Source organism: Homo sapiens, chromosome 5 (genome assembly GCF_000001405.40).
Source record: "Homo sapiens chromosome 5, GRCh38.p14 Primary Assembly".
Lineage (NCBI taxonomy): Eukaryota > Metazoa > Chordata > Mammalia > Primates > Hominidae > Homo > Homo sapiens.
In genome coordinates this window covers 178,021,420-178,044,432 of record NC_000005.10, presented here as the reverse complement: position 1 = coordinate 178,044,432, position 23,013 = coordinate 178,021,420, and the positions used below count along the sequence as shown (strand labels likewise).

At 43.9% G+C, this 23,013-nt stretch overlaps 1 pseudogene across 2 annotated transcripts in view; it reads right to left on the bottom strand.

Annotated features, from left to right (window-relative positions):
• Positions 1 to 23,013, bottom strand: part of FAM153CP (family with sequence similarity 153 member C, pseudogene) — a 55,897-nt pseudogene that overhangs the window by 19,156 nt on the left and 13,728 nt on the right. For both annotated transcript variants that reach the window (NR_149722.1, NR_159407.1), the window contains 6 exons: positions 9,279 to 9,337; positions 8,397 to 8,421; positions 5,516 to 5,595; positions 5,022 to 5,046; positions 2,670 to 2,740; positions 2,208 to 2,238 (listed from right to left, as the gene is read on the bottom strand). The product of NR_149722.1 is annotated as a family with sequence similarity 153 member C, pseudogene, transcript variant 2 (transcript). The remainder of the gene's footprint in view (positions 1 to 2,207; positions 2,239 to 2,669; positions 2,741 to 5,021; positions 5,047 to 5,515; positions 5,596 to 8,396; positions 8,422 to 9,278; positions 9,338 to 23,013) is intronic.

The window sequence follows — 23,013 nt, the reverse complement described above, 5'->3', positions numbered from 1 at the left end:
ACACTGGCTCATAGCATCTCTTACCTCCAATCTGGGAACCTGAGATTCCAGCCTTGATGCAAATGCACTGAGTTAGGTGGGTGCAGAGAACAGAACCTGGGCCAGACTCACAGCAGCTGCTTCCCAGGTGATTCTGGGAGAATGGAGATGCTCTCTTAAGAGTAGACTTTTGGCAACTGGGAACTTCTAGCATGGCTCTTGTGAGGAGGTTATGAATTTTTTCATTTATTTTAACATGAATGGGCACATATGCCACTGAGGACCATACGGGAATGCACAGGTCTAAACCCAAAGATGAGGAAGATGTGACTCTCCCCCCTGGTGATTCCTGGCAGAGTGGTTTGCTGCTGTGATCTGATCATTCATGGATGGGTACTTCAGGGGCACAGGAACAAGCTCCAGGCCCCCTGTGAAGTGCAGGGATGCCACAACAAAAATAAAAAAGCCTGGTCCAGCAAAGGAGGACTCGTAAACAGAAAAACAGCCTCTTCTGCAAGGAGAAAAGCTGAACCAAAGTAGCCAGGGTAGAGATGAGGGGGACACTTCATTGACTTCAGGAACCCACCCTATTCTCCTGTGACCTTGGATCAGAATCCACTCAGGTTTCTAAATTACCATGAGAAACAACAGATTGAAGGAGATGAGCAGGAAGCCTTTTCACACTGGTGCTGGATCTCAGCAAAGGGTTTGGAAGCATTGGAACATTACTGGGGCCCAAGATGGGCTGCCCAGGGCTAAGCTCTGGGATGAGAAGGAACGAGGAGGACATAGTCCTTCCCCTCCGTGACCAGCCATGGCCAGGATTCGTCTACACATGAGTAAAGCAAAACAGAGTTTAGGACTAACAATTCCAAGACTATCTCAGAGAAAAAGGCAAAGTGATGTCTTATACATCACACAGGAGAGTTGCAAGGACCACCTGGACTCTGGAGCAGCCCCTCTCCCTTTGCTGAGTTCACCTTGCTCTGAGGCAGGGTCCGTTCTCACCTCCCCTGCAACTAGTGTGGGGCAGGTATCCTGCCTGATGATTATTTCATTAAATACAATAGAATATGCCACTGATTACTGTCTGCATTTGAAAAGGAGCTGAGGAATGATTTCACCATTCTAGACCAAAAGCCTGAGGAGTGTGTGTGTTTTACATTAATGGTCACACTAAAGCCCACTGTGCAATGTACCTACTCAAACAAACCCTGGGATAGCTGACCATTGAGACCATCTGATAACGATAGTGTTTGGGATCTGAATAGCTTTTCATTCTCCCACATGCACACAGAATTGCTAGAATAACTTGGCCTAGCAAGAAATTATACCAGGGCTTTGTGACAAATTCAGTGTAGTAGCTCATGCCATTAACCTTCCACTCATCCCCGAGTTCACATGTGCCTCTTCCACTTAAAAGACCAAGAGCTTGGGAAATTCAACTCTGCAGCATGTCCATCTGAGGACTGGGGATATTAAACTTATCTTCAGGTACAGCTGTGGTGGAGGATGAATGGGTTGATTTATGCAAACTGTGCAGTGGTGATGGAATTTTTCTTGGACATTGATCCTCGTGTTGTGCTTTGAACATGGGAGTATGTTTTCTGGGGAAATGCACACACACTCGCAAAGACATCCATAATCATTCCATATAGACTCTCTCCTCTGTCCCTCCCAACTCTGATGTACCACCCCACCTTACATGACACTGCTGCTTCCAGGGATGGCAGTAGCATGGTTAGAGTACTGGACTCTTAGTTTGTTGGGGTGTTTTTTTTTTTTTTTTTTTGAGACGGAGTTTCGCTCGTTGCCCAGGCTGGAGTGCAATGGCACAACCTTGGCTCACTGCAACCACTACCACCTGGGTTCAAGTGATTCTCCTGCCTCGGCCTCCTGAGTAGCTGGGATTGCAGGCATGTGACACCACACCCAGGTAATTTTGTATTTTTAGGAGAGATGGGGTTTCTCAATGTCAGTCAGGCTGGTCTCAAACTCCTGACCTCTGCTGATCCGCCCGTCTCCGCCTCTCAAGGTGCTGGAATTACAGGCGTGAGCCACTGTGCCCGGTGTGACTCTTAGTAGTTTTTAAACCAAACTTCCCAAATCTCATTTCTGGCAGAAAGCTCAAACCAGAGTGGCCCTTGAGCAAAAGCAGGTGAAGCAGCGCCACCTTTACAACACTAAGATTTCAAACCTAAACAAAGAGATGATCCCAGAATACGTACTCTTTGCCGGTGTGGCTGGGTCCACCTGCATCTAGAGAAAAAGAAAACACCATGAGGGTCAGACCATGCTGTCTCCTGTGTGCACAGGTCTTCACTTGTTGACGTTAAAAAGCCAGATGGTAAACAGTGGTTGAGACAATGGCCCCGGTATCTAGAAGACATTCCTGGAAAGGCACAGGATTTCTGTGCAACATTTTCAATTGTTTTTCTTTGACAATTCCAAACTCTTCTCAAGAAGAAGGCATTTCTCTTAAGGAAAATGCCTGCTGACACACAGTTTGTAAGTGTGGATGCCATCTGAAACCACTGTTTAGTTGATAATGAACTCTGGCATTTGCCCACCAAGAAATTCTGTCAGTCACCTATAGTGTACATGGTGAGATGTATACATCTTAATTCAATTGAAACAGAGAAACCGAGAGAAATAAAATTTCCTTTTCAGAGGAAAGAAGACGACTTTACCATGTGAACCCCTGTGGCTTCCTCAGAGACTGTCTGCCCTGGCAGATGCTCCTCCAGGTCTTCCAGGTCACCTAGGAAACAGAGTCGCTATAAGCACATGAGCTCCACTGAGTGAATCCCTCAGGTGGTCTTGGAGCTGTGGACACGGGGCTGGCGTGTGTGGAAAGGTGTGTTCACAGCACAGACTCAGCTGCTGCCGGTCTATCCTCCATGGTGGAGAGGGAAGGCAAATGGTGAAGGAGGGCACCAGGAAGGTCTCAGAAGACAGAGCCTTGGTCCTCTAGCTACGCCAACCTCTTCGACATGAAAGAGCCCATCTCAAACAGGGCACACCACACCGTGTTTCACTGCAGCATCCAGGGCTCCTCCTTCCTAATCTGACCTCAGCTAACTTGTCCTCCCTTCTTTATCCCCTCGAGGTCATTTCCTCCCCGGATCCACCTGTCCTGCTGCTATGTTTTTTGTCCCTCCCAGAACTTGCTTTTTTTTTTTTTTTTTTGAGATGGAGTTTCTCTTTTCTTGCCCAGGCTGGAGTATAATGGTGCCATCTCGACCCACCACAACCTGTGCCACCTGGGTTCAAGGGATTCTCCAGTCTCAGCCTCCTGAGTAGCTAGGATTACAGGCATGCATCTCCATGCTTGGCTAATTCTGTATTTTTAGGAGAAACGGGTTTTCTCCATGTTGGTCAGTCTGGTCTCGAACTCTCAACCTCAGGTAATCTGCGCGCCTTGGCCTCCCAAAGTGCTGGGGTTACAGGCGTCAGTCACCATGTCACAACTTTTGTACTAGATAAAAAGCAACCCTTCCTCAAAGAGGAGACTTAATTCTAACTAAAATATCCTACGTATTCACTAACCTTTTGTTTTAAAGAAGACTAAGCCAAGATTTGAAAATACTCAATTATCCTACCATTTAAAGATGACTGCTACTTGGCCCATGATGTTTGTGCTTCTGCTCTTCCTTTTAACACAGTGTGTGTGTGCCATGGGACCTGCTGCTGCTCATGCTCACACTGGCTCCAGCACTAGGACAGCCCATCATGGGGGGCAGCAGGTGGGGGCGCTGAACCTCTCCAACCCAGCTGTGTAGAAGAGTCCAGCAGAGAAGATGAGGACCAGGGTAACATCCAAGTTTTTCCTTCGGTTCTTATTTGGTGCTGTGTCTTGGGGGTATGTGCTGAACTGCAGCATATGTAAGGCTTGTGGAGATTATGCCATTAAATACAATATAACACGCCTGATTACTTTGTGCTTTTGATCAGGACATGAGAAAATAACACAGCACTGCATGAGCCACCCTCCATCATGCTAGGAAGGCAAGTGCTCACCCTGCCTCTCAGACCCTAGGGCAAACCCCTTGGTTTTCTTTTCATGTAGTTTCTGAGCTGAGCACACAGAAACCATGACTAGGCTGAGGGATACAAGGCTGAAACTCTACATGACCCTGGAATTATCCATTCTGGGCCCCATTACTTATGGTCAATATGAGACCTCTATGGAGAAAGTTGGGGTGATTTCCCCCTAACCCCGCCTGCAGGCTCCTCTCTTCTCAGTTTCCCAGCAGAACTCGCTGTAGCATGAGGCTGCTCCAGGGTCTAAATGCACAGGAAGAAGCCCTGCCCCACTCTCCCTGCTCAAGATGGGTGGTGGAGGGTCAGTTCTGAGGGCTTTGGTAGATAAAAGGCTTGTAAAGGAGGGAAGGGGCTAGAGTGAGGTGTCATGCCATTCTAGTGGCAGAGGAAATAGAAAGGCCTGTGAAGAGGTGAGGTTTATTAGAAAATAAAGTATAGCAGGGAATTCTCAATGAAAAAATAAAATCAGCAGAGATTCTGACACAGTCCTGTTCTATGGGTGTGCAGTAAGAATTTGCCTTTGTGTTGACAGGATTTCTTTTAGGTTTATTGAAGTGCCCTGTGCATGAAATAAACTGCAAACATTGGAAGCTTACAAGTTAATCTTTTTTTGTGCCTACAATAGGACCGCAATGGTGACGGAAATCTCTGTTGAGAATGTGGACACTAGAAACTCTGGGGATATGTAGTATGGAAACCCACACACCCCCCCACCAGACACACGGACCATGGCACCACATGAATTCACAAAAGACATGGCAGGCCCCTTGCACGGGATCCCACCCCACCTTCAGAGAACACAGTTGTTCCCGGGGACTGCAGAATGTGGCCACTGTTTCTTATCTAGAAAAACCATTTCTCCCATCACAGTCTAGGTCCTCATTCACAACATGAAGCTCAGCTCAGGCTGCCTGTCTACAGGAAAGCCTGTGAGACAGGGCCACATTCCTCAACATCTGGATTACTCATCAGTATGAGAGGGGTTCCCCAATACGTACCACGTTGTGGAACTCCCAAGGATGTCTGTAATGACAGAAAATAAATTGCTATGAGCATCAGACCATGCTGTGTCCTGTGAGCACAGGACTTTTCTTCACTTAGTGACATTAGAAAACAAGATGGAAAAACCAGTGTTCAAAGGAACCCCAAAGAAGAACAGAGCAAATCAACTCATACTAAAGACACAAATTTTTCTCAGAGGATATTTCCTCTCAAGTCCATGTTGGTTGGCAAGTAACTGATTTTGCTCCAAAGAGAGAACAAAATTAGTAAGGCAAAAGCTCCCTGCCCCACAATGTGTGACTGATGCTGTCATTTTCTCCCACTGTTTTAAATCAAGCCTCAGTGGGGACAGACTCTCACTTACAATTCCCCCCAAGGACACTGTGTAACTAAGATACATATTGTCAGAGTCTCATATCTTAATTTAATCCAAATCAGATAAAGCTAAGAAAGCAACAGTTTTTTCTCAGACAAATCCAGGTGGCCTGACCTTCATCGCCTCTTGGTACTTCTTCCATGTGCTGTATAGGTGGAGCTCCCGTAGTCGCCGTAGTTGCCGTTTCATCTCAACTAGGAGGATACAGAGTGACCGTCAGCACCTTGGTGGTGGCGCTCATGAACAATTCAGTAACACTGCTTGAGGTGGGCTTGGGAGGAGGGTAGCAGGCACAGGAGAGATGCAGGAAGAAAGGGAATCAGGGCCTTTGGCTTCCTAGCTCCAGGCCGCCTCATAAACATATAATAGCCAATCTCAAACAGTGCACACCAGCAGTGCAGGCTGTGTGTCCCTGGCAGCCTCTTAGGGCTCCTCCTTCCTAATCTGACCTGAGCTAACTTGCCCTCTTATTGATCCCTGCCAAAGTCATTTCCTCCTCAGAATCCACATGTGCTGCTGATCTGTTTATCATCCCTTCTAGAAGATTTTGTACTAAACAAGAAGTAACCTTTCTTACAATAGGAGATTTAATTCTAGCCAAAAGATTTTATTACTAACTTTCTGTTACAAGGCAAATAAACAGAGATTTGAAAATACTCTATTATCCTACCATTTAACGATGACCCCTACTTAGCATGTGATATTTGTTCTTCCGCTCTTCCTTTTCAACACCATGTGTGTGCACCATGGAGTTCACTGCTGCTCATGCTCACACTGACTCCAGCACAGAGACAGTCTGTCATGGGGAGCAGCGAGGCGGGGCAAGGGGTGGGCACTGACCCTCTCCAACCCAGCTGTGCAGAGATTCCAGCAGGGAAAATGGGTGCCAGGCTAACACCCAAGTTGAGTCTTGAGATTTTATTGGATGCTATGTGTTGGGATTGGTTTCCACTGAATTTCTAAGACTTGCGGTGATTATCTCCTTAAATACAATAGAGTATGTCACTGATTATTGTCTGCTTTTGAACAGGAGCTGAGGAATGACCTCAACACTGTAGACCAAAAGCCTGAGGACTCTGTGTGTTTTACATTAATGATCACACTAAAGCCCACTGTGCACTGTACCTACTCAAACAAACCCTGGGTTAGCTGACCATTGAGACCATCCGATAATGATAGTGTTTGGGATCTGAATAGGTTTTCATTCTTCCAGCACACAGAAGTGCTGGAATAACTTGGCCTAGCAAGAAATTATACCAGGGCTTTGTGACAAATTCAGTGTAGTAGCCCATGGCATTAACCTTCCACTCATTCCCGAGTTCACATGTGCCTCTTCCATTTAAAAGACCAGGAGCTTGGGAAATTCAACTCTGCAGCATGTCCATCTGAGGACTGGGGATATTAAACTTATCTTCAGGTACAGCTGTGGTGGAGGATGAATGGGTAGCTGAGTAGCTGGTATTACAGACATGTGCTCCCTGAGTAGCTGGTATTAAAGACATGTGCTTCCTGAGTAGCTGGTATTAGAGACATGTGCTCCCATGCCCAGCTAATTTTGTATTTTTAGTAGAGATGGGGTTTCTCTATGTTGATCAGGCTGGTCTTGAACTCCTGACCTTAGGTGATCCACCCTCCTTGGCCTCCCAAAGCACTGGGATTACAGGCATGAGCCACCGTCTTCAGCCAGAACATTTTGTACGAGGTAAAAAGCAACCTTTCTTCAAAGAGGTGATATAATTCTAGCCAAAATATTCTACATATTCACTAACCTTTTGTTTCAAAGAAGACTAAACCAAGATTTGAAAACACTCAATTATCCTACCATTTAAAGATGACCTCTACTTGGCCTGTGATATTTGTCCTTCTGCTCTTTCTTTTAACACTGTGTGTGTGTGTCATGGGGCCTGCTGTTGCTCATACTCACACTGGCTCCAGGAATGGGACAGCCCTTCATGGGTGACAGCAGGTGGGGGCGCTGACCCTCTGTTACCCAGCTGTGCAGAGATTCCAGCAGACGAGATGGGCACCAGGCTAACAGCCAATTGGCTCTGTGAGATCTTGTTGGGTGCTGTGTGTTGGGTATGTGTGCTACTGAATTGGAGCATTTCTAACATTTCTGGTGATGATCTCATTAAATATAATAGAATATATCTCTGAATGTTCTCTGCCCTTGACCAGGAACTGAGGAATACCCCATCACTTAAGACCAAAGGCCCGGCAGCTCCCTCTGTATGTTTCATATTAATGACCGCACCCAAGTTCACTGTACAATGAACCTACTCAAACTCTGGGTCAGCTGACCATTGAGACCATTCTATTGTGGTATACAGTGCTGGAGATCTTTATAGGCCAACATACTTCCACATACACATAGATGCTAAGGACTCTCTGACATGGTGACAAGTTACACCAGGGCCATGTTATAACTTCAGACTAGTAGCCCACAGCATCACTCTTCCACCCATTCCCGAGTTCATCTATGCCATTTCCATTTAGGAGACCAAAAGCCTGAAAAATTCATCTCTACATCATCTCCATGTGAGGACTTGGGATATTAAACTTACCTTCAGCTACAGCTGTGGTGAGGAATGAATGGGTTGATTTTTTGCAAAAATGCAGTGGTGATCAAATTTTGTTTCTAGAATATCAATCTTTGTGTTGTGCTTTGCATATGGGAACGTATTTTCTGGGGAAAAGCACACAAACTCGCAGAGACATTCACAATCATTCCACATTGACTCATTCCTCCATACCTCCCAACTCTGATTCACAACACCCTCTTCTATCCAAATGACCCTGTTCCTTCCAAGCACCAGAGTCAACGGTCACATTTCTTGACCAGGTTCTTCACTTGTCAAGACAAAAGTGCTTGAACCACATTTCTGGCAGGAAGTTCAAACCAGAGTGGCTCTCCAGAAAAAATGAGGCAAGAAAGTGTCACCTTTGTCAACACTAGAATTTTTCCTCAGCATAGGGGTGATTCCAGAATACGTACTGTCTCTCTCTGTGTCTTTGTCCACCTGCATTTAGAGAAAAACAAAACACTACAAGGGTCAGACCATGCTGTGTCCTGTGTGCACAGGTTTTCCTTTTCCCTCCCTCCCTTCCTTCTTTTCTCTTTCTTTCTTTCCTTTCTTTTCTTTCTTTTTCTTTCTTTCTCTTTTTCTCTTTCCTTCCTTCTTTCTTTCCCTTCCTTCTTTCTCTTCCTTCTTCCCTTCCCTTCTTCCTTCCTTCCTGCCTCTCTCTCTCTCTCTCTCTCTCCCCTACTCCCTCTCTCCCTTCCTCTCTCCCTTTCTTTGCTGGAATTTCGCTCTGTCACCCAGGCTGGAGTACAGTGTCATGATCATGGCTCACTGCAACATCCGCCTCCTGGCCTCAAGCGATCCTGCTCCCTTAGCCTCCCCAGTAGCTGAGATTACAGCAGCCGGTCAGCATGCCCAGCTAATTTTTGTATTTTTAGTAGAGATGGGGTTTCACCATACAAGTCTTTTCTTTACTTGGTGACATTAGAAAAGCAGATGGGAGACAGTGGTTGAGGCAATGGTCCTAAAGCCTCGAAGACACTTCTGGAAAGGCACAAGATTTTTATGCAAGACTTTCAAGATTGTTTTGGTTGTATAGTCACAATGTTGTAAGAAGAAAGCTTTTCCCCTAACAAAAATTCTTTCTGCCATACAGTTCATAACTGAAGGTGTCATCTAAGAATGCCATCTGAGATCATTTCTTACCTGGTAATGACCCTCACATTTTCCCACCAAAATATTCTGTAAGTCATCTATAATGTACATGGTAAGATTTTCATATCTCAATTCAAATAAAATAAAAAAGAACCAAGAGCAACAAAATTTCCATCTCAGAAACATAAAGAAGAACTTACCATATGAACGCCCAGGACATCTTCAGATGAAGCTTCCTGCACCAGGTCCTCATCGTAATCTAGGAAACACAGAGTAACTGTCATCATGTTGGTTCCACTGAAGGAATCCCTTAGGCAACCTTGGATGCTAAGGACAGGGGGCTGGCATGTGTAAAGGAGGTGGGTTAAGGGTAGAAACTTGGCTGCCACTGGGACACCCTCCTGGGTGATGAGGGAAGGCAAATGAGACCATCAGGAAAGCCACAGAAGTCAGGACCTGGTTCTCTGGCTAAGCCCCCACACCACTGCGAAAAAGGCAGAGTTCACACAGGGTGGCACACAAATGCACTGCTGATTTCATGACAGTGTCCCATCACCCCCTTGTGCATTTTGAGGCCCGGTAAATTTCTTTTGTTGTTGAAATGTTATAATGTCATTTATCTTTCCTTGATCTACATATGCTCCTCCTGTACTTATCATCCATTTAATTGGCTTTAAAATCAGTATTGTGGCCAAAATACATCGTATTTATTATTTTAATAATCAAGTGCACACTTCAGGGGCATCAGTGCCATTCACAGTTCTGTGCAGTAAACTAAATGTAATCCAAATCCAGATGTCTTACTTTCCACCTTAGGAAACTAGAGAAAAAAGTATAGTGTAATGTAAACCAGGCAACCCTCCTCCCCCAAAATATAACAATATTTGCAGAAATCAATGTAATAGAAATAATAAAATAAAGAAACTCAACAAAACCAAAAGCTGCTTCTTAGAAAAGATCAATAGAATTGGTAAACCTCCAGCAAGGCTAATCACAAAGAAAATACAGAAGACACGATGTACAAACAATATGAATAGAAGAGGAATTATCCTTGCTGATCCCATGATCATTAAGAAAATAATAACAGAATACTTTCAACAAATCTATGCCTGCAATTTTTTAAGTGCAGGAGTGAAAGTCTATTGAAAAGTTTGAGAGTAGGAATGACAGGAAGCACAGTAGCCTTTGATGAGAACCAAGCAGGCAACTTGTCAGATTCAAGTGTCTACACCCACAAATTTCCTAGCTTAGATGAAATGGACAAATGCCTTCAAAGAGAGAAACTACCATAACCACCCAAAGGAGAGATAGATAATCTGAGTAGGCCTCTATCATTATAGAATTTAATCAGGAAGTAATAACTTTAAAAAAAAATGCCCACATAATTGTACTGGTGAATTCTGCCTAACACAATGGAAAACATAGTCTTACCAGCAAGTGATCAAAATTCTACATATTTACCCAGCTAAATTAGAAAATTATGTTCATCTTAAAATCTGCACAAGAATGTGGGCAGCTTTATTCATAATTACCCAAATTGGAAGCAGCTGAGATGGTCTTCAGGCGGTGAGTGAACCAACTAACCCTGTTCGATGAAACCAATGGACTATTGTTCACTGATAAGAATTATTAAGCTGTTAAGCTTCAAAACGATACAAAAGATCTTACATGTATATTGCTAAGTAAAATAAGTTAGTTATACGTAGCTACATACTCTATGATTCCAACTCTATAAAATTCTGGAAAAGGAAACCTATAGAGGCAGTAAAATCATCCATAGTTGTCAGGAATCCTCAGAAAAGGAGAGGAATTAGTAGATGCAGCTCAGGTCATGTGTAGGATGTGAAATTATTCCGTCAGGGTGACAAAAGACATTGTCAGTTTGTCAAAACCCATAGGCTGGACAACACAGAGTGAACCTTGATGCTAACCCTAGATTTCTGTTCATAAGAATGTATCACTATTGGCTCAGTCACTGATGCTAACCTTGGATTTCTGTTCATAAGAATGTATCACTATTGGCTCAGTCATTGTTACGAGCGTTATCACACTCACAAAGATGGGATCACCAAAAAACACTGAGGAAGGTGGGTATATGGAAATTTTTGTTGCCACTTCCTCCATTTTTCGGTTACTTCCAAACAGTTTGAAGTGATGTCCATTACTTTACAAACCTGGCAACACTGTCTCAGAAAAAGATCCTTTTTAATTAATGTTTTAACAATCAGCAAAATGTCTACAATTTGCACTGAGATGTTATTTACTATTAAAAGTAAACCCAAATCTGGAATGGAAATACACCTTTACTCCTCTGGTTGTAGCACTAGTGATTGACTTAACACATTTAAATATGCACACATGAAATAAAGAATATAGCATCGCAATTTTATAATTGTCTGAAATATGAGACACTGAAGAATCTAGAAATCATATCATGAATGAACTGAATGACTGAATTTCCACAACACCTTCCATTGATGCAACTCTAGGGTATATATGGCCGGGATGCCAGTGATACCAGTGATAGGTGATTGGCTTCTCACGCTCGCGGTGGCAGACGGTGGATTCCCCTGGCATCCTAGGATACACTATTTCATCCTTGCCACAACACACTGGGAAATGAATTAAAATAAAGACAGGTGTTGGTGTCTTGCCGCAAAAGATCAGAGAAATGAGTAATTATTTATTCACAGCTTAAATGTTTGATTCCATTGTTCATCATCTGCAGAGCAAAGCCCCCTGAATCTGAGTTGGGCTTCAGAAAGACTTGCACTGTGGGTTGCACGTATAAGTGTGCAGGCAAATGCCTGTATTGAGATGAGACATTACAGAAAGGTAGTAGATTGGAGTGACCAAGAGCATAGGGTCCGGAGCATAGGATCTGAGCTCAGGGACTTCTGAGAAGCTGCTAGAACCTGAGGAAGTTCTATAGATCCCTCTGTGCCTCCTAATGGCCTACGTTATGTTAAAAGGGTAAGAAGAATTAAATGGACCTAAAGCCTTAAAACGGGTGCTTCCTAAGTGCCATAAAGTGTTCAATTATTTCATGTCTGGAAGAATAAGCCAGGCCCTTGGTAGTGGTTAATAGAGAAGCCACTTGGGGGACTCCAGGGCAGTGGAGGCTAAAATTCTTTTCATTCTTGACATGGGTCTCATGCTTTAGAACTCGTGAAAAGTTTTTGTTTGAATTTCCTGTGATGCCCACGTCGGCCCAGAGAGATGGGCAGAGCAGGGGCTGCCACTCAGAGTTGACGGTTCAGGGAAGTGAAATGAAGAGATTTGAAGCGACCTGCCTAGGGTCACAACACTGACGAATGATAGATCTGCGACAAGAATTTGGTTGGTTTTCTGGGGACAGAGATCCCTGAATACCTGAGGCCTCTAAATCATGGCCTGGACCCTGAACCTGGAGCTCTTTCCACTCCCTTTCTCAATCCTCCTGCACCAAGGGCTCTTCAGGAAGGTTGATGTATTTGGAAGAGGTGGTGAGTCCAGAAAAAAGCCAAATCATTTAACAAAACAAAACTCCTGTCTCTAGGTTTTAACTCCTGGGCTAAAATATGGCACTTTCCCGCAAACGAAGCCTCTCTGAGGAACAAATTCAAATGTCTGGTCATCCTACCCATTGCCCTGTATTGTCAGCTGTCTGGCAGTGAGCACCCCTCCATGACCAACTGACCACAGCAAGGGACCAAGTTCTGCTTGGCCCCCAAGGTAGTTCGGAACTTAGGACATTCCAAACTAACTACCACTTGATGGCTGTGCCAAGAATAAACTTCCCTTCAACTGAACCATTCTGAAGAAGCAATTAATGGGAATTAACTGAAAATGTGGCCCCCCAGTGGATTTTTCAGCAGTTTATTCTGTATCTAGTCTATGAAAGAGTGTGTGTGGCGGGGGAGGCCGGGTGTGGTGGCTCACACCTGTATCCCAGCACTTTGGGAGGCCAAGGTGGGCAGATCACAAGGTCAGGAGTTCAAGACCAGCCTGGTCAATATGGTGAAACCCTGTCTCTACTAAAAATACAAAAATTAGCCAGGCATGGTGGCAGGCACCCATAGTCCCAGCTACTTGGGAGGCTGAGGCAGGAGAATCACTTGAACCTGGGATGCAGAGGTTGCAAAGAGCTGAGATTGTGCCACTGCACTCCAGCCTGGGTGACAGAATGAGACTCTGCCAAAAAAAAAAAAAAAAAAAAAAGAAAAGTCCAGGCACTGTGGCTCATGCCTGTAATCCCATCACTTTGGGAGGCCAAGGAAGGTGGATCAGGAGGTCAGGAGTTCAAGACCTCCCTTGCCAACATGGTAAAACCCTGTCTCTACTAAACATACGAAAATTAGCCAGGCGTGGTGGCGGATGCCTGTAATCCCAGCTACTCAGGAGGCTGAGGCAGGAGAATTGCTTAAACCTGGGAGGTGGAGGTTGCTGTGAGTCATTATCACACCACTGCATTCTAGCCTAGGCAACAGAGCAAGACTCTTCACTCTTCCAAAAAAAAAAAAAAATTGGCATTGGAAACAGTGTATTTTCTAGAGAAAAGTATTTGAGGCAAAAATCTTGATAGAAGAATAAAAAAACACAAATTGAGTAATAAAACTCTGAAACATATTTATAAATCTGTAGACAAATAGGAGCTGGGGAAATTAAAAAAATCAGAATGACATTTAACATACAGGAAAACTGGCTCATCTGAAGAAATTGCAGTCAGAAGATGGAAATGAACATACATACCTTCGAGGCAACAACTATAAGCACATCCCATTGTGAGTCCTCTGAGACAACTAAGCTGCGTTTACTGCCAACGTTCAGTTGCCAGAATGGCAGTTAAAATGAAAGGCAAGACCTATATCATCAGATCACCTCAGCAACAGGTCACAGTAGAATTTTCGCAAGCATCCATGTCACAATATGGGGCCCAACTGCTGTGATCTAGACCAGTCCATTGTCACATCGACAAGGGGTCACTTAGACTCCATGTTTCATTTCAAAAACTGAATCTCAGACACACAGTATTATTCTATGTGTATGAAACAAACATTAAAGGAGGAAAAAGATTTGCCTCTCAAATATATTTGATAGTGAAAATTTCAGGGTAAAGATAAGAAAAGCTAATACATTGAGAATAAAGGGAGATTCCAGCCTTGATGTGAAATGCCTTCCCCACCAATTTCTACTATTCCTGAGTCACCAGAGAGTCCTAGCTTCAACAATTCTAAACTAGCTCCAAATTACATTTAAAATGCATTAGTGTAACTTCAATTTTAAAGCCAATCTCTAACAATATAATTCATAGTAATAAAAAAAGATATGATTCAGTACAACTTTCCATCACTGTTGATTCATCACAAGTTTTAAGAACTATTAAATCAAATGGGTCATTAATGAGGCATAAAAACTGCATTAATAGGGGGTGGAGCCAAGATGGCCGAATAGGAACAGCTCCAGTCTGCAGCTCCCAGCGTGAGCGATGCAGAATACGAATGATTTCTGCATTTCCAACTGAGGTACCAGGTTCATCTCATTGGGGATTGTCGGAGAGTGGGTGCAGGACAGTGGGTGCAGCCCACCGAGTGTGAGCTGAAGCAGGGCAAGGCATTGCCTCACCCAGGAAGTGCAAAGGGTCAGGGAATTCCCTCCCCTAGCCAAGGAAAGGGATGACAGACGGCACCTGGAAAATCAGGTCACTCCCACCCTAATACTGCGCTTTTCCAATGGTCTTAGCCAACGGCACACCAGGAGATTATATCCTGTACCTGGCTCGGAGGGTCCTACGCCCATGGAGCCTCGCTCATTGCTAGCACAGCAGTCTGAGATCAAACTGCAAGGCTGAAGCGAGGCTGGGGTAGGGGCGCCCGCCATTGCCCAGGCTTGAGTAGGTAAACAAAGTGGCTGGGAAGCTCTAACTGGGTGGAGCCCACTGCAGCTCAAGGAGGCCTGCCTGCCTCTGTAGACTCCACCTCTGGGGGCAGGGCATAGCCAAACAAAAGGCAGCAGAAACCTCTGCAGACTTAAATGTCCCTGTCTGACAGCTTTGAGGAGAATAGTGGTTCTCCCAGCACACAGTTTGAGATCTGAGAACAGACAGACTGCCTCCTCAAGTGGGTCCCTGACCCCCAAGTAGCCTAACTGGGAGGCACCACCCAGTAGGGGCAGACTGACACCTCACATGGCCGGCTACTCCTCTGACACAAAACTTCCAGAGGAACAATCAGGCAGCATCATTTGCTGTTCCTCAATATTCGCTGTTCTGCAGCCTCCACTGCTGACACCCAGGCAAACAAGGTCTGGAGTGAACCTCCAGCAAACTCCAACAGACCTGCAGCTGAGGGTCCTGGCTGTTAGAAGGATAACTAACAAACAGAGAAAGGACATCCACACCAAAACCCCATCTGTATGTCACCATCATCAAAGACCAAGGGTAGATAAAACCACAAAGATGGGGAAAAACAGAGCAGAAAAACTCAAAATTCTAAAAATCAGAGTGCCTCTCCTCCTCCAAAGGAATGCAGCTCCTCACCAGTAACGGGACAAAGCTGGATGGAGGATGACTTTGACGAGTAGAGAAGAAGGATTCAGATGATCAAACTTCTCTGAGCTAAAGGAGGAAGTTCAAACCAATGGCAAAGAAGTTAAAAACCTTGAAAAAAGATTAAATGAATGGCTAACTAGAATAACCAATGCAGAGAAGGCCTTAAATGACCTGATGGAGCTGAAAACCATGGCATGAGAACGATGTGACAAATGCACAAGCCTCAGTAGCCGATTCGATCAACTGGAAGAAAGGGTATCAGTGATGGAAGATCAAATGAATGAAATGAAGCGAGAAGAGAAGTTTAGAGAAAAAAGAATAAAAAGAAACAAACAAAGCCTCCAAGAAATATGGGACTATGTGAAAAGACCAAATCTATGTCTGATTGGTGTACCTGAAAGTGATGGGGAGAATGGAACCAAGTTGGAAAACACTCTGCAGGATATTATCCAGGAGAACTTCCCCAATCTAGCAAGGCAGGCCAACGTTCAGATTCAGGAAATACAGAGAATGCCACAAAGATACTCCTCGAGAAGAGGAACTCCAAGACACATAATTGTCAGATTCACCAAAGCTGAAATGAAGGAAAAAATGTTAAGGGCAGCCAGAGAGAAAGGTCGGGTTACCCTCAAAGGGAAGCCCATCAGACTAACAGCTGATCTCTCGGCAGAAACTCTACAAGCCAGAAGAGAGTGGGGGCCAATATTCAACATTCTTAAAGAAAAGAATTTTCAACCCTGAATTTCATATCCAGCCAAACTAAGCTTCATAAGTGAAGGAGAAATAAAATCCTTTACAGACAAGCAAATGCTGAGAGATTTTGTCACCACCAGGCCTGCCCTAAAAGAGCTCCTGAAGGAAGCACTAAACATGGAAAGGAACAACCGGTACCAGCCACTGCAAAACCATGCCAAATTGTAAAGACCATCAAGGCTAGGAAGAAACTGCGTCAACTAACGAGCAAAATAACCAGCTAACATAATAATGACAGGATCAAATTCACACATAACAATATTAACCTTAAATGTAAATGGGCTAAATGCTCCAATTAAAAGACACAGACTGGCAAATTGGATAAAGAGTCAAGACCCATCAGTGTGCTATATTCAGGAAACCCATCTCACGTGCAGAGACACACACAGGCTCAGAATAAAGGGATGGAGGAAGATCTACCAAGCAAATGGAAAACAAAAAAAGGCACGGGTTGCAATCCTAGTCTCTGATAAAACAGACTTTAAACCAACAAAGATCAAAATAGACAAAGAAGGCCATTACATAATGGTAAAGGGATCAATTCAACAAGAACAGCTAACTATCCTAAATATATATGCACCCAATACAGGAGCCCCCAGATTCATAAAGCAAGTCCTTAGAGACCTACAAAGAGACTTAGACTCCCACACAATAATAATGGGAGACTGTAACACCCCACTGTCAACATTAGACAGATCCACGAGACAGAAAGTTAACAAGGATATCCAGGAATTGAACTCAGCTCTGCACCAAGCAGACCTAATAGACATCTACAGAACTCTCCACCCCAAATCAACACAATATACGTTCTTCTCAGCACCACATCGCACTTATTCCAAAATTGACCACATAGTTGGGAGTAAAGCACTCCTCAGCAAATGTAAAAGAACAGAAGTTATAACAAACTGTCTCTCAGACCACAGTGCAATCAAACTAGAACTCAGGATTAAGAAACTCACTCAAAACCACTCAACTACATGGAAACTGAACAACCTGCTCCTGAATGACTACTGGCTACATAACAAAATGAAGGCAGAAATAAAGATCTTCTTTGAAACCAATGAGAACAAAGACACAACATACCAGAATCTCTGGGACACACTTAAAGCAGTGTGTTAGAGGGAAATTTATAGCACTAAATGCCCACAAGAGAAAGCAGGAAAGATCTAAAATTAACACCCTAACATCACAATTAAAAGAACTACAGAAGCAAGAGCAAACATATTCAAAAGCTAGCAGAAGCAAGAAATAACTAAGATCAGAGCAGAACTGAAGGAAACAGAGACACAAAAAGCCCTTCAAAAAATCAATGAATCCAGGAGCTGGTTTTTTGAAAAGATCAACAAAATTGATAGACTGCTAGCAAGACTAACAAGAAAAGAGAGAAGAATCAAATAGAGGCAATAAAAAATGGTAAAGGAGAGATCACCACCGATCCCACAGAAATACAAATGACCGTCAGAGAATACTATAAACACCTCTACACAAATAAACTAGAAAAACTAGAAGAAATGGATAAATTCCTCGACACATACACCTTCCCAAGACTAAACCAGGAGGAAGTTGAATCTCTGAATAGACCAATAACAGGCTCTGAAATTGAGGCAATAATTAATAGCTTACCAACCAAAAAAAGTCCAGGACCAGATGGATTCACAGCCGAATTCTACCAGAGGTACAAGGAGGAGCTGGTACCATTCCTTCTGAAACTATTCCAATCAATAGAAAAAGAGAGAATCCTCCCTAACTCATTTTATGAGGCCAGCATCATCCTGATACCAAAGCCTGGCAGAGACACAACAAAAAAAAAAGAGAATTTTAGACCCATATCCCTGATGAACATTGATGCAAAAATCCTCAATAAAATACTGGCAAACCGAATCCAGCAGCACATCAAAAAGCTTATCCAACACGATCAAGTGGGCTTCATCCCTGGGATGCAAGGCTGGTTCAACATACGCAAATCAATAAACGTAATCCAGCATATAAACAGAACCAAAGACAAAATCCACATGATTATCTCAATAGATGCAGAAAAGGCCTTTGACAAAATTCAACAGCCCTTCATGCTAAAAACTCTCAATAAATTAGTTATTGATGGGACGTATCTCAAAATAATAAGAGCTATGTATGACAAACCCACAGCCAATATCATACTGAATGGGCAAAAACTGGAAGCATTCCCTTTGAAAACTGGCACAAGACAGGGATGCCCTCTCTCACCACTCCTCTTCAAAATGGTGTTGGAAGTTCTGGCCAGGGCAATCAGGCAGAAGGAAATAAAGGGTATTCAATTAGGAAAAGAGGAAGTCAAATTGTCCCTGTTTGCAAATGACATGATTGTATATCTAGAAAACCCCATCGTCTCAGCCCAAAATCTCCTTAAGCTGATAAGCAACTTCAGCAAAGTCTCAGGATACGAAATCAATGTACAAAAATCACAAGCATTCTTATACACCAATAACAGACAAACAGAGAGCCAAATCATGAGTGAACTCCCATTCACAATTGCTTCAAAGGGAATAAAATACCTAGGAATCCAACTTCCAAGGGATGTGAAGGGTCTCTTCAAGGAGAACTACAAACCACTGCTCAATGAAATAAAAGAGGATACAAACAAATGGAAGAACATTCCATGCTCATGGGTAGAAAGAATCAATATTGTGAAAATGGCCATACTGCCCAAGGTAATTTATAGATTCAATGCCATCCCCGTCAATCTACCAATGACTTTCTTCACTGAATTGGAAAAAACTACTTTAAAGTTCATATGGAACCAAAAAAGAGCCCGCATCGCCAAGTCAATCCTAAGCCAAAAGAACAAAGCTGGAGGCATCACGCTTCCTGACTTCAAACTATACTACAAGGCTACAGTAACCAAAACAGCATGGTACTGGTACCAAAACAGAGATATAGACCAATGGAACAGAACAGAGCCCTCAGAAATAATGCCACATATCTACAACTATCTGATCTTTGATAAACCTGACAAAAACAAGAAATGGGGAAAGGATTCCCTATATAATAAATGGTGCTGGGAAAACTGGCTAGCCATATGTACAAAGCTGAAACTAGATCCCTTCCTTACACCTTTTACAAAAATTAATTCAAGATGGATTAAAGACTTAAATGTTAGACTTAAACCATAAAAACCCTAGAAGAAAACCTAGGCAATACCATTCAGAACATAGGCATGGGCAAGGACTTCATGTATAAAACACCAAAAGCAATGACAACGAAAGCCAAAATTAACAAATGGGATCAGTTAAACTATAGAGCTTCTGCACAGAAAAGAAACTACCATCAGAGTGAACAGGCAACCTAAGGAATGGGAGAAAAATTTTTGCAATCTACTCATCTGATAAAGGGCTAATATCCAGAATCTACAAAGAACTCAAACAAATTTACAAGAAAAAAACAACCCCATTAAGAAGTGGGCAAAGGATACGAAGAGACACTTCTCAAAAGAAGACATTTATGCAGCCAACAGACACATGAAAAAATGCTCATCATCACTGGCCATCAGAGAAATGCAAATCAAAACCACGATGAGATACCATCTTACACCAGTTAGAATAGCGATCATTAAAAAGTCAGGAAACAACAGGTGCTGGAGAGGATGTGGAGAAATAGGAACATTTTTACACTGTTGGTGGGACTGTAAACTAGTTCAACCATTGTGGAAGAGAGAGTGGTGATTTCTCAGGGATCTAGAACTAGAAATACCATTTGACCCAGCCATCCCATTACTGGGTATATACCCAGAGGATTATAAATCATGCTGCTATAAAGACATGCACACGTATGTTTATTGTGGCACTATTCACAATAGCAAAGACTTGGAACCAACCCAAATGTCCAACAATGATAGACTGGATTAAGAAAATGTGGCACATATATACCATGGAATACTGTGCAGCCATAAAAAATGATGAGTTCATGTCCTTTGTAGGGACATGGATGAAGCTGGAAACCATCATTCTCAGCAAACTATAGCAAGGACAAAAAACCAAATACCACATGTTCTCACTCATAGGTGGTAATTGAACAATGAGAACACATGCACACAGGAAGGGGAGCATCACACACTGGGGCCTGTTGTGGGGTGGGGGGTGGGGGGAGGGATAGCATTAGGAGATATACCTAATGTTAAATGACAAGTTAATGGGTGCAGCACACCAACATGGCACATGTATACATATGTAACAAACCTGCACGTTGTGCACATGTACCCTAAAACTTAAAGTATAATAAACAAAAAATAAAAAATACAAAATACAAAAAAAACTGCATTAACATAGATGTTGCAATTTTTTTCAGGAATTATCTAATTGAAGGGGTGGTTAACAGAATTTAGGAAGGAACACATATTACCTGTGTAAATGGAGAATTTTAATTGTCAACAACTGAATAGAAAATTGGGCAGGTGTGCACATATATATATATATATACACATATATGAGAGAGAGTGAAAAAACTCAATTAAAAAATACCAGACCACAGATTTATATCTCTTAATGCCAAATTGGGAAAGACTTTTTTTTTTTTTTTTTTTTTTGAGATGGAGTCTTGCTCTGTCGCCCAGGCTGGAGTGCAGTGGCACGATCTCGGCTCACTGCAACCTCTGCCTCCCAGGTTCACGCCATTCTCCTGCCTCAGCCTCCCGAGTAGCTGGGACTACAGGCGCCCGCCACTGTGCCCAGCTAATTTTTTGTATTTTTAGTAGAGACAGGGTTTCACCGTGTTATCCAGGATGGTGTCGATCTCTTGACCAAGTGATCCACCCGCCTCGGCCTCCCAAAGTGTTGGTATTACAGGCGTGAGCCACTGTGCCCAGCCCCTGGAAAAGACATTTTTAAAAACAGAATATGTTAGGAAGAATAAAAAGGAATGAGCATAAGGCTTTCCTTCCTGGTGCCACCTAAGTGTTCACAGTAAATGAAAATAAATGAGTCTTTTACACTGGTAGCCAAAGTCCTTTGACAAAGCTTTGTCACGGTGTCAGTGCTATATGATTGTTCAATTAATAAATCTGGAAAGATGTGCAGAAACTTAACAGTTGTTACTTCCAGAGGCAGAAGCTGGCAGGCTACAGAAGAGGAAAAGACAAGTCCAGATTTCGGTGTGCATTCTTCTGTACCTCGTGAATGTCCTACAAGTGTGTTATTCCTGATGTCTTTACTGTGATTATTTTTAAATAAAAAAAACTAATACCCCCAAATGCTGGTAGAAAACAAACATTTCAATTTGCTAATGCTTCACAGGGACAAGAATTCAGGTAAGACACAGAAAAGATAGCTTATTGCTCCTTGTTGATGTCTGGGGACTGCAGAGAAGTCTTACGGAGCGGGACTGAATCCACAGCAGGAGGTTGGAATCATCTGGATATGCCGTCATGCACAGGTCTGCAGAGGAACTTGGGCTTGGCTGGAGAACTTACACGACTACCACCCACACTTCCACACCCGCTCAGCCCAGCTGCAGCAGCTTGGCCAAGATAATGGGCGCTCCTGCTCAAACGAGATTTCCCAGCTTTTGCGGAGTTCATCACCAGCCTCGCTAGCAGCGAATTCCCACTTCTATGCAAAGGAAACTGCCAACGAGGTTACAATCAATTTTTTTTTTCCTAGAGTGAGGCCTGGCCGGAAAAGGGCAGGCCATCCTAGTGGCCTGTGAATGACCTTGTGAGGGTCACCAGGCCCCCTCGGCTGCAGGGCTCCAGAGCCCTCCCCTGGCCGACTGCATCATGCACTGGCCCTAGCCTGGGGTGATGAGGCCAAGGCATCACCAGCTTTGACCCTGATGCCTCTGGCCTGGGCAACTGTCCCCTGTGCACTCAGCAATGCACATGCTAATTTAATCCAATCTGTCAGCCCAGGCACCTGGAGCGGAAATGGCCGGCCCACTTTTGCCCCACCCCAGCCCCTTTTCAACATTAACCTTGAGAGTCCGTGGCGCGTTCTTTGTGAGTGGGCCAGCTCCAGGTGCTTCACCCACATCGCGTACTTCATCAAAACCACTGTCAGAGGTAGGGCCTGTTAGGATCACTGTCTCACAGAGGAGGAAACTGAGGCAGAGACCGGGTAGGTACCCCAACTGAGGACACACAGAGAATAAGCTAGGATGGAACCTGCTGGCAGGCCCGGACTCCTCTGCTCAGTGACAGCCACGCAGAGAAGCCAGGGCACCTTAAGCTGCCATCCCTGTGCCACTTACCCACCTGCTTGTGGCCCAGGCCAAAAACATCCCCATAAATAACCATCCGCAGCTGCCCTCAGCCTCCTCTAGAAGGCAGGTGCCCCAGAAGCTTCCTCACAAGCTCTTTGACATTTCAGCGATATGTGGGTGGCTGAGGAGCCCTGAAACCAGGTGAAGGTCTGGGAAGGTGAGACGGGGGATTTAGCTCAGGCAGTGCCCTCTGGCAGGGGCAGGCACTGCAATGGGCACCTACTTGGGAGGAACACCTGACGTGGTTTTCCCGATGCTCGATGCTCGGGGCCTCACACTCATCCTTGCTGGACATAGAGAACTAACTGAGCTTCGAGGGGTCCTTCCCTCAGACCTGCCAGGTCCTGGTGCCACCAAACACTTAAGAATGTGGACGTGACAAAGTTAAAGAGGTGAGTGCCTGTGCACACCAGTGACATGGGACT